The following is a 12134-nucleotide window of genomic DNA, read 5'->3' on the forward strand; positions in this document are numbered from 1 at the left end:
TGAGCTTCCTCTTTAGCTTCCTGTATGAGGTGTGAGTGGGAAGACAAGAGTTGCCAGCACACATATATTAAGATTTGATACTAAAATCTCCCCTAGGTGACCAGCCACCGGCGACAGAGGAGAGTATCCTGGGATCAAGAGGAGGTGTAGCTGGATTTTTCTGTTTCACCTGGCCTAGTTCACCACTCGAGCCACTTTACATATAAGGGAGCAGAGTGCCAAGTGAGTGTTAAATGTTTCATCTAAAGTGAAATTTCTTCCACCTTAATTCTGAGTTATTCTGTATATAGTCTCTCTATTAAAACCTCTGGATGTGTAAACTATAGAGTGTTACAGAATATGTTTACCATTACAGCTGGAACTGATCATCCTGAAGTGTGTAATTTGGCTTCATGTTGCTTACCAGCTTTCTGTGAAAACATCTCATATTTTTATGCTTCCACATGAGCACATATATTTTATTCAATGTGAGAATTAATATTAGCAAGACAACATACATGATTTAGTAAGGCTGGGCTCCGGATTTTTGCCCATTTTACTTTCAAATACTGACGTCAACTATTCCAAAATAATCACTGATTCCTAATGGTAAGACTTAGCATGGCCAAATGGGAATGCCTACCTTAGTTTCCAAATATTTGAAATTTAGTGTAATTTATGGTGTATATGGTTTATGTGTAGTCATTATCAAAACAAGCAGACAAGGGGAAAAGAGGCATTCAAAAAGGAATATTTTATTGCTGGAGGGCTTGCTGGGCTAGTTTACCCTTTCCTCTCAGATATCACAAACATCTAGAGTTGTTTACCACAACCCTCCCCCAAAAGACCCTGTAACACTGAACAGTTGCACTTTCTCTTCTCTCTCCAGTGTGCATCTGACGTAAGAATCAGGAGGTAAATTTATTTACACTCACTTTATTTCTTACTTCTTATGGCTAAGCCATTCTATATGCCAAATTTTAATAGTCTTTAACTACTCTAATTTTATCAAAACACATCTTTAATATCTGAAACACTCTCCAAACCCCAGTCATTCAATGGTTAACAATATTTATGTATCCACAGTCATACTTTTCATAAAAATTCCTTTGGTCAGTTTTTCCCCATATATATTTACACTCATAACTCTAGCATGAATATAATTTTGAAATTCTAACTGAATCTATAAAGGGATCACTAAACAAATGAATATGCCATTAAGATTATATATGCATATAATCTCTAAAAATTTTCAAAACACAGCATAGTGTCCTACACATGATGGCATATAATCAATATATATTAGTCAATTGATTAATTCATAATGATGTTTCCTAAGAGAGATCTTATTTTTGAATATAATGGTGTTGATAATAACAATGTATGACATAAGGTATTTTTTACAAAAATCAAAAAGTGCTATTAGTTCAAATCTCTACTGAAAAACAAAAGTAATAAGACATGTATCTAGATTATAACTTGAAATTTTTAGATCATTCAGTCATTCAACAAATATTTGTTATCTACAATACTCATAATGTTGTATTGATATAAACCTAGAAATATACAACAAGCAAAATAATGTTTCATTTTGATATGGAGATTAAAGTCTGATTGGTTCAGTTACATTCTCCTGATTCTTTTACTTCCAGTAATTATCATTAACTCTCCACATATAGGCAAACAGATTATTTAGTGTAATGAATTAATATTTCAAAATATTACATTGCTGGAATGGTGCTGATCATAATTCAATATTTTTCCATGAAACAGATTATGAAAGATTAGCAAATATTTTAGGATTTGATTGAAATATGCTATTTGAAAAAATTTAAGGAGAGTGTTCAATAAATGCACCATACTAATGCAGGGACAGTCGTAACATTTACTCCAGTTTTGTGGTCTCTTTCTTATTTATAGTAAAGATAATCACAGATAGGAAAGTCCCTGGTGAGAAAATTTGCAATCAAAGTGGTTCCGAAACACTGGCTTTATTCATGGTTACCCGTCTCCTGGTAGTAGGATTCCCCAAACAATCCCGTGAGCATTCGTAAATCAAATACCAGCCCATCCAGCTTATGCCAAAGGGGGATCTGAATTTTAGAAAGTAAGTTTTGGAATGTATGCTGGGGTTCTATGTGTGGTAATGTTTTATTAAAATCCATAAACATGAATATTCCACACATAAAATTAGTAAATCAAAGAAAAGTCAACTGATAAATATTAACTACTTTTAGAATAAATGGCATCAAAAAAATTAATAGAATAATTATGTTAAGTGACAATGTTTACATTGTACATTTCAGCCATTTTTAACTATGTTCATTAGCAGTATTGTCATTGATAAGTTCCCCCAGCAGAGGGAAGCATAACCTCATTATTATTTCCATAGTAATATGGCATAATGTTTCAATTATGGAAAGTGGGGCATCACTACAATTTTACTGCATTTTAAGTGAAGGTTGGTTGATGTTTCTGCATTTACTAAGCAACTTTGACATTAAATAGGCTCTGACATATTTTAGGAAGCAAAAAATGAATTTGGTACAAAATGCCCAGTGTAAGGGAATACCCTACTAGTAATTCAGTGTAAAGATATCCACATTATCTTCTGCTTGACTAGGATACCCAATAATGATATATTAGGTTTATATCATGAGCATATAAATGAATCATTTTAAGGCATATTTTAAGACTGTAGTTTTTGCTTTGGTATATTTTAATGTACATTTCCATTCCCTACTCATCTCAGGTTGCTACTATATACAAAATGAAGTACTTAAACATGGCTTCTTTTTGTTAATATAAGAAAGTTGAGCTTTAAACCTTGTAAGCATCTAAAATTTTGAATTTATCATCATAATAAAACATAATTTATGATAATAAAACATAATTCAGTGCCTTGTGTTCTTTAGGATTTTCTTTCTGTAAGATTTTACTTCTCTTCGGCTGCATTTCTTTAAGTATTCTGAGAGATGCATACATTGCATGCATATGCATGAATATGCATTATTATGATTTTAGCCTGGTCTTAGCAGGTTGAAAGATGAAAAATGTGACTTACCATGGTGTAAGTCTGAACAGTGAGTCAGTGGGTCTCCATTTCTTATATCTTGTCGTCTTGTGCGTCTGAAGCAATTACATTTAAAAGGTGTTATTGTATCCTTATTTTTCCCTTCTAGGAATTTGTCATAAGAATGAAGAGAAATAAAATATATATATATATATCATAGACTCTAGTAACTTACAGGAACAGATGAATCTACATCCAACTAAAAGATTTTTTTAAAAAACAGTTCATTATACCTGTAAGAGCAGTCTCCAAGATGATCAAAATGGGAAACAAGATCCAAATGTACTAACAACATGTTAAAAGTCTTTAAAATAGTGATAACAGAGAATTCATGGCTTTTTCACTACCAGATGTCAGTCAGTAACAATCTAATGTCTAGAAACTCAAGGCCTAACTTCTGTGGAAAAAGCACAAAATTTAAAATAATAATCCATTTTTTTCAATAAAGGGTAAATTAAACTTTTTTTCTGATTATTAATGAAGGAATAAGCTTGAAAATTATAATTCACATGAATGTTCTCTTTCTCTAAATGCTTACACATAATTATTTAAATAGACTTTTGCTAAATTTTATAATATTAAGACTAGAAATTCTATTTTTAAGCTAGTTTTAAAATTTCTTTTCTTGGTTATTGTATCAACCTATCCTTTTTTTTTTTCTTTCTTTCTTTTTTTTTTTTTGAGACAGAATCTCGCTCTGTCGCCCAGGCTGAAGTGCAGTGGCGTGATCTCGGCTCACTGCAAGCTCCGCCTCCCGGGTTCATGCCATTCTCCTGCCTCAGCCTCCTGAGTAGCTGGGACTACAGGCAGCCGCCACCATGCCCAGCTAATTTTTTGTATTTTTAATAGAGACGGGATTTCACCGTGTTAGCCAGGATGGTCTCGATCTCCTGACCTTGTGATCCGCCCTCCTCGGCCTCCCAAAGTGCTGGGATTACAGCGTGAGCCACTGCGCCTGGCCATATCAACCTGTTCTTTTTTAAAACAGTTTATTTTATGATCATATGGCTATGATTGCAAACCAATTTACCTGTGAAGTGAATAAAAGCAACAATAAATGTTGAACTTAAGGGCAAGGCCTCCTCTTGCCAGAGGAATGAGAGAGAGAATAAATGAACTTACATTTAAGAGAAAAGCAAAGTTTGCTTATAAAAATCAAACGATTTCTTCTACATTCTACCCCCAGATCACATGTGAGCTGCAGCACGTTGTGGGTATCCTTTTTCTACATTTTGCTAATGGTTGCCTGGGAAGGAGGAGGTAGGCTGTAGTCACTGCGGTGCAACAAAGATGTGAAGTTCCAGGAAGAGGCTAAAAATGGAGACTGGCTATGTGTAACAGACTGGAAAAGATTGGGGGACACTTGCCCAAGTGTTTGCTGCTGCTATTTTAATGGGTATTGTCTTGCTGCAAAATTAGTTACCATCCCTAAAAAGAACTCTCACAAAGGCCGTTGAGAATTGCAAATATGGAATTTGTTACTGTATTCATAAATTTAGAAGTCTAAAGTATTTATAGATTTCTATTTGTAGAATTAGTGAAACTATCAAACAGATGTTGCACATTTCAAAATTGAGCCAACAAGAGAACTTGTGAAACACGAACTACAAAGCATTTGGGAAGGCATTTTTCACTGCCATTTAAGATTTTGAAAAATGCCATCACAAAGAATATATAAATCATGAGGCTTCTAAACATCCTTTTTAAAGACAGCGTGTCACTCATGAAATTGGATTAAGTAAAATCTGTAAGGCATAACAAAAATGTGCTAATGAAAATTCCTTCAATCTTGAATTGTAGGTATACAATAAATACTTTTCAAATATGTAATAACATATAGGTTTTAACTTATAGATGTGTTGATTTTCTTTTTATCTCTTTCCTTATTAAGAAGAGCTTAAAATTCAAATAGATTATTACTAAATTAGGTAATATTATAAACTTTCACATGAAGAAGAAATAATACTCATTTTAGTTCAAACACGAATTCCACTTTTTTTTTTTTTTTTTCGAGACAGAGTCTTGCTTTGTCACCCAGGCTGGAGTGCAGCGATGCAATCTCAGCTCAGTAAAACCTCTGCCTCCTGGGTTCAAGCAATTCTTCTGCCTCAGCCTCCCAAATAGCTGGGATTACAGGCATCCGCCACCACACATGGCTAATTGTTGTATTTTTAGTAGAGATGGGGTTTCACCATGCTGGCCAGGCTGGTCTCAAACTCTTGACATCGTGAGCCGCCTGCCTTGGCCTCCCAAAGTGCTGGGATTACAGGTGTGAGCCACGGTGTCGGGCTGAATTCCACATTTTAAAGTAAGATAATAGCCACCTAGAGTTAAATGTTTTTGAGAAGCATTAACTTTTAATCTTAAAAAATTTAATGTTACTGCTGTAAAGACTGCATATTGCTATTCCTTAAATTACCTACGGTTTCTTTAATGAACAGACATTATCTCCACAATAAGTTTTATTTTAAATTTGAAATTTCGACAAAATGAATGGTTATATAAAAGTAATACGAACATGTTACCTCAATTCTGAATGTTAAAGGTTTAATAATTGTATTTCTTATATGATATAATACTGCGTATACATTTAATATTATTAACAGGATACTGTGTTTTAATCCTTTGGACTACTTATATAACAGACTAAATTGTAGATGATTTTACACTCAGTCAATGTTATCTAAAGTGTGTAATCAAGAGATTTAAGTAGGCATTAGGGCCATTTCTTTGCTCAAATATTTTACCAAATATTCAAACTGATACAAATGTTGTAGGACATACCTCATTAGCTATGAAAATCTACATTCATAGCTTCTTTGAAAAAAATAGCTATAATAAACAATAAAGAAATCAAATTATATTGCTTCTAAAATGCAGAGGTTTCATAAAGCTGGTTCCATTTTATATTTCAATAGGTTGATATACATGCTGTTAATCTTTGGGCTCATATTAACGAGATACTGTATGTTAATTTCATCCACCATTCTCATTTCCTAAACCCTGCTAAATGTTGAAAGAGAAAGACATCCTTCAGTGAGTAGTAAAGGATATGTTTTTGAAAGGGCTATTTTGTCAAATGAAGAAAGAGTTATCTTAGCAACTTTTATTCAAGCATGTCCAAAAAAATACTTTTAAGTATTATCAAGAGTATGTTTAAGAGATATATATGTATATATATGCTGGGCGCAGTGGCACACGACTGTAATCCCTGTAATCCCTCTCAAAGGCCAAGGCATGAGGATCACGAGGTTAGGAGATCGAGACCATCCTGGCCAACATGGTGAAACCCTGTGTCTACTAAAAATACAAAAATTAGCTGGGCATGGTGGTGCACGCCTGTAGTCCCAGCTACTCGGGAGGGTGAGACAGGAGAATCTCTTGAACCTGGGAGGCAGAGGTTGCAGTGAGCCGAGATTGTGCCACTGCACTCCAGCCTGGTGACAGAGTGAGACTCCATCTCAAAAAAAAAAAAAAAAAAAAATATATATATATATATACACACACACACACATATACATATATACACATATACATATAGATATACACATATACATATATATTGCATATGCACAGATAGATATTTTACTACATGGTTTTATGTTTCAAGTTCAGACACTGCAAATGCAAGGTGATGCTATAATAATATAATAACACTTAAATTTTCTTGAAACAAATAGACGTATTTTGTGATGTTAATCAAAATTACATATATCACATATTAAAATGTAATATTTTCAAAACTAGAAATAAATTCTTCTGGACTTTTTATAATTAGGCCCCTGTGTACTACCTAAGACTCTAAAGGAAAATAAATTCCTTTCTCTGATCATTTTCTGTTCATCCAGAGACATAAATTGCCTTATTAAAGTTTAAAAATGAGACAGAATGTTGCTGGATAGAAATAGAAGAACATGTTTGGAAAACAGAGTATTTTGGTCTAAAGGGACAAGACTCAGTCTAGATTCTGTTTATGACTTTCTCTGTGACTTTTTTTCTGATTGTTTTAACTATTTGAAGAGAAGAGAAAAAACAAAACGCAACAATCCCCTCCATCTGCTCCCAAATCTTTTTATTCATTAGAAAAAGTTGATGCACTTATTTGAAGAAAGCTATTTCAAACTTGGAATCAGATAGGATAACTAGCAAACATTTCATTTATTTTGAATATTTTTCCTACCTCTTTGCAGTGGGAAAATAGCGAGAACATGCAGAACCATCCCAAGCACAGTAAGGGTCTCGGGCGAGGCAACACTCAGCACACGCTTTCCCGTAAATATCACACCGGTGTAAAGGGAGCTGGGCAACCCCAGCCGTTGAACCAATATATAGTTGTTGCTGTGGAAAGAGTTTACTGCTGTGACAAAAACTATCTTGTCTTTTAAATCTCTTGTTCTCTTAAAAAAGAGTTTATTTATATATAACTTCTCAGAGATAAATTAAGGGTTTAAAAAAATCATCCCTTTATTGCTAATTTCTTTAAAGGCCTTCTAGACAAGATGGCAGTTTAAAATGGAGCAAGAGCAAGTTCTAAATATTTGACTGAAACAAGTGTCTTTTATTAAGTGTAAAACAAAGGAAAGATGAAGACAGTAATACACCAACCAATGTAATGTTCAAAGCTACAAGTTTTGTTCTTTGCAAGTTTGCTTTTTTACCTTTACTGTATATAATACTCATATACCAAAATGTCTTTATTACCATGTGTTCCAGATTGGCCAGAGGCAGGAACCATTGCTTCTGACTTCTCAGTACCCTATTGTATTGCCTGTGATGGAGTGTGCCCTTTCCTATGATATGGGAAGGGGCAAAATTTTGGTGCTTACATTTGAAAAAACTTTGGGCTCAACACCAAGAACTGTCTTACCCTTGCACTACCTCCAGGAAGATTACTTTTAAAAAGACTACTAAATTACTACCCTTCAAAACGTCTTTGAAAAGAGGCACTAAGTACACTCTGGTGCAGTCTGCCAAACCAAAAGCTGAAGTGTTGTGGAAAAAGCATAGGGTTGAGCATGAAGATACCTGGATTCTAGGTCTCGCTGCCCATTAACACCCTGTGTGATCTTGAGCTATTCATATAATTTTTCTAAGAATTAACTTCCTTATTAAAATGAGCATGTTTAATAGGTCTTTAAAGTATGCATTCAGATAAACATTCTACAATGCATTTATTCTCAATGAAATTGGTGTTATTGAAAGACCCAGAATATGGAAGATTAAAAAAATTGTTTTTCTAATAATTCAGGATTTCAGTACAACTTTTAAAATGCCTTTAACAAAGTTGAGCCAATGTAGCATATTAGCTGCAAATTTATTTAAACACAAAATGAAATAAAATTATTTTGCAATTTCTCCACATTTACTGTTATTGGCACCATAGCTCTCTTTTCTTGCACTAGAGGATTCAATAATTATAGTAAGCCTTAAGTAAAACTTACATAAATACTGAAACATGTAATGTTTTCATACATTGAAAAGACATCAAAAGTGTATTTTAGTTTCTCTAGTATATAAATAAAAAATGAGTTTTAGAAAAGTCAGTCTCTGAACAATGATATGCTTTTTTAATACTACACATTTTCTAATAGTTAACAATGAATATAAATGAAATTGCATTTCCAAAGGCTTTCATGTATAAACTGCATGTATAAATAACCAGATAAATTGAATGCAGACTGAAGTACCTATGAGAATCTAAGAAAATATTAAGGTTATAAGGAGTGTTTACATAGAAAATAGTTCTCTGCTGAAATCTCACCAACTAACTTATACCTTATTACAAGCAAAGTAAATAAGGGGAAATGTAATACAATAAAATCTAAACCATTGTGGAAACATTTATCTTCATTAATATTATTATTCCATTTCACTAAATGGAAAAAATGAAATTATAGCATATATTACTAAGTGCTCAATTTTTTGCTATATTCAACTTTTATTATAGTATTGAATTTTGCTATAAACCAGGACAAATTAAGAAATGATGGTTAAATTCTTTGGGAAAAATAGATTAAGTATTGTTAAGCTTTCCTTCCCCATTTCTCTCTCTTTCTTTCTTTCTCTTTCTTTCCTTTTCTTTTTCTTTCTTTCTTTCTTTTCTTTCTCTTCTTTCTTTCTTTTTCTTTCACAGACTCCTTTTTTAAAATGAACTTAGACACTATTGAATGTAAGCAATTTCAGTATATGGATGTGTCAATCCATACATTGTGTTTGCAACTATTTTGAAAAGCTACTCAAGTTAGTCCTACAATCAAGATCTCTGTTTCGCCAATAACGTCTAAGAAGCATGAGCAAAATGTATATTTATAGATTTTTTTAAGAATATGACATTTAAGTAGGAAAAGTGTTATTACCTAAATAACAGTATCTAATTATGTCATATTCCTTTAGGGGAGAAACAGAGAAATAGTATGTGGAAAGAATAGCAAACCAAAATATAGCAGCTGAAATTATTATGATGAAAACCTGAACTGTGATAAAATGCCAAAAGTAACTATAAATCAGTCATGTTCATTTTACCATAATTTTGCAGTATTATTAATGAAGTGCAAAAATAATTATGCTATCCAAATGAAATATAGGGTAAGCCTTTAGGCACCATTGAGCAGAATCCAGTCACTAGTAAGTTACCTGATGTGCTTTTTCTGCCCAATTTAACATCACCACAGGCTTTCTCACTATCCTCCTTAACAAAGTGTGGGGTATAGCAGGAGATGGGTTCATTTATCCAGAAAATTACTTGCAACACTACTTGTCCCTCTTGAAACTACTATCTCACTTTAAAAATGCCCATAAGCATGAATGAAATTGAGTCATATCTGAACGAAATCAAATCATTTCTTCCAGTAATGGAAAATAAAGGAAAAAGACACTTTCTTCTCTCATGGTATTTTAAACTGATAGATTGTTTTTCTTTGTCAGTAAAATGTTGGCTTAATATGTACTTTTTTAAACAGATTTAAAAATGTAAAACAGAAAGAAATGGTTTACAAAAATAGACGTGGAGTTAGTGCAATTAAGACTGGCAATGAGGCCTAGCAGAGAATAAATAAATAATTTTAAAAATCATTACAGGAAAGAATATCCCAGTCTAGCTTCCATCCTGGAAATCCCCAGATTTCTTTGCCAACCTCTAACAATTTTCAGATTACGAGAACAGATGAACACATACTTATGCAGTGTAAGATAACAGTATCAGGTCAATCGTATCTGCACTCTGGGTTGCTCTAAATATCTTGGAGATTATCGATCTATTTTGATATGTCTGTGTAGGAAAAGGATATACACTGAATTTTACTGGCAGAGTAATTTAGTGTCTTGTTCAAGGGATAAAGCATGGTCAGAGATAAAACATGTAAACAGTTCAGAAATAAGATTTGCCAAATGATTCTCATTTTACAATTTTGTATATAAGTTTTTACTCTAGTAAGTGAGGCATACCCTACTTCATTCTGGATTTTTCTGCTTTTTTTTTTTTTTTTTTTTTTTGAAGTTACCATTGATATACTGGACAGAAGAAAGTCTAGGTAACATTTATGGAGAAAATATTAGACATTAAAACTATATTTGTTTACACATATTACACAGTATTTAGAAGCAATTGACTTTTCTGAAGTGTCTTGCCAAAGCATCCATTTGATATGAATGGAAAGACTATTAACATGCTGCCCTTAACCTTTGAATTCATGAAGTTTTAGTACTTATTTGGCAGTGATCATTTTTTTGCTTTCATTTGATATTTAGCCAAAGTTAAATACACATTTTGTTTTCTCTAGCATACAATACTACTGGAAAAGTAAAATTAACTTTTAAGTCAAGGTCCTCCAAACACATATAGCCAGTGAATAATTTTACTAGCCTCTAAAAATGCATTTTTGTTTATATTTGCAAAGTAAGAATAAATTATAAATTTTTTTTATATCCTGAAATATCACAATGCTATTTCAGGGTATACACATAAATACATAATCAGAAAAGATGAAAATTATTATTGAGTATTGAGTAAATTATATTAAAATGACCAAAATACACTGTATGTAAAAATTTATAACAAATAATGATCCATAAAATAATGTTTATAGAACACAGATGAGATTGATCAAAAACATGAGGGCAATGAAAACTATCTTCAGTTTCTAATCTACTAGCTTATTGTAAGAATGATATTTGTTTTCTCCTGTATTTTTGTATAATTGTTAACAAATCTGTGAAATTTGATAAATAGATATATCTATTGAAACACCAGAATTAACAAAATATTGGATATTCAATGGTAATACATAATGATAGTACCTGCTTAGTGGAAAGCTCCATTGCTGAAATAGCAGTCGGTTCCTAAAGGAGAAAAAGAAATATGTGAGGTGTTTGGTCAATTAGAACAGCCAGCTATTAGTTAATTAACTCAAGGCACTGCCATTAGTTTTCAGAGAGAAACTTCAGTGTCCACAAGAAGCAATGTGACTGGGAAATAAGACACATAAAGAAACTGCATAGATAAGGGTCAAATATGTGGAGCAGGCAATAAGATTGTGTCAGTGTCATACAGTCTACATACCTGTAGTTGACCAAGTTGGGGTTATTGCTTACTACAATATAAGGGAAAACATGAGCCTGCACAGTGAGCACAGTGAGAGGGTGTTGGAAAAAACATGTTTTGGACTTGTGTTAGGTGATTGGGGGAGGGTTCAAAGAAGTAGAGCTTTGTTCTACATTGGATGTGGTCAAAAAGCAGGGGTAATTCTATGCTTAAGTATCTTCGTAAATCATTTGGGAGGGAAGAACAAAGTAAGGCTAAAGCTATGACTGGCGAAGAAGTAGCAATAACTTGCGATAAGCAGGATGGGGATATATGGTCATTTTTGTGGTTTGGACAATGTTCATGTTTTTATCTGTGTTTGGACATGATTACAAAATGGTTTTGCTTTTATCTTGATTCAGCATGGTCTCAGAGTGGTCCTTTCTGATGTTGGTATTCTGCGAAAATTGTTCTGTTCAACTGGAGAACGCTGCCTTAGCTGAGAGTGCCAGCCTCATTCCTAACAACACCAGTGGCAGCTGATGAGAGTAGGCCACTTTCCAG

At 33.1% G+C, this 12134-nt stretch overlaps 1 protein-coding gene across 3 annotated transcripts in view; it reads right to left on the reverse strand.

The window, feature by feature from the left end:
- Positions 1-12134, reverse strand: part of SEMA3A (semaphorin 3A) — a 536949-nt gene that overhangs the window by 18312 nt on the left and 506503 nt on the right. For all 3 annotated transcript variants that reach the window (XM_005250110.4, XM_047419751.1, NM_006080.3), the window contains 3 exons: positions 11348-11389; positions 7233-7390; positions 3044-3108 (listed from right to left, as the gene is read on the reverse strand). In XM_005250110.4, the coding sequence (XP_005250167.1) occupies positions 3044-3108; positions 7233-7390; positions 11348-11389 (265 nt within the window). The remainder of the gene's footprint in view (positions 1-3043; positions 3109-7232; positions 7391-11347; positions 11390-12134) is intronic.

This window comes from Homo sapiens, chromosome 7, assembly GCF_000001405.40.
Source record: "Homo sapiens chromosome 7, GRCh38.p14 Primary Assembly".
Lineage (NCBI taxonomy): Eukaryota > Metazoa > Chordata > Mammalia > Primates > Hominidae > Homo > Homo sapiens.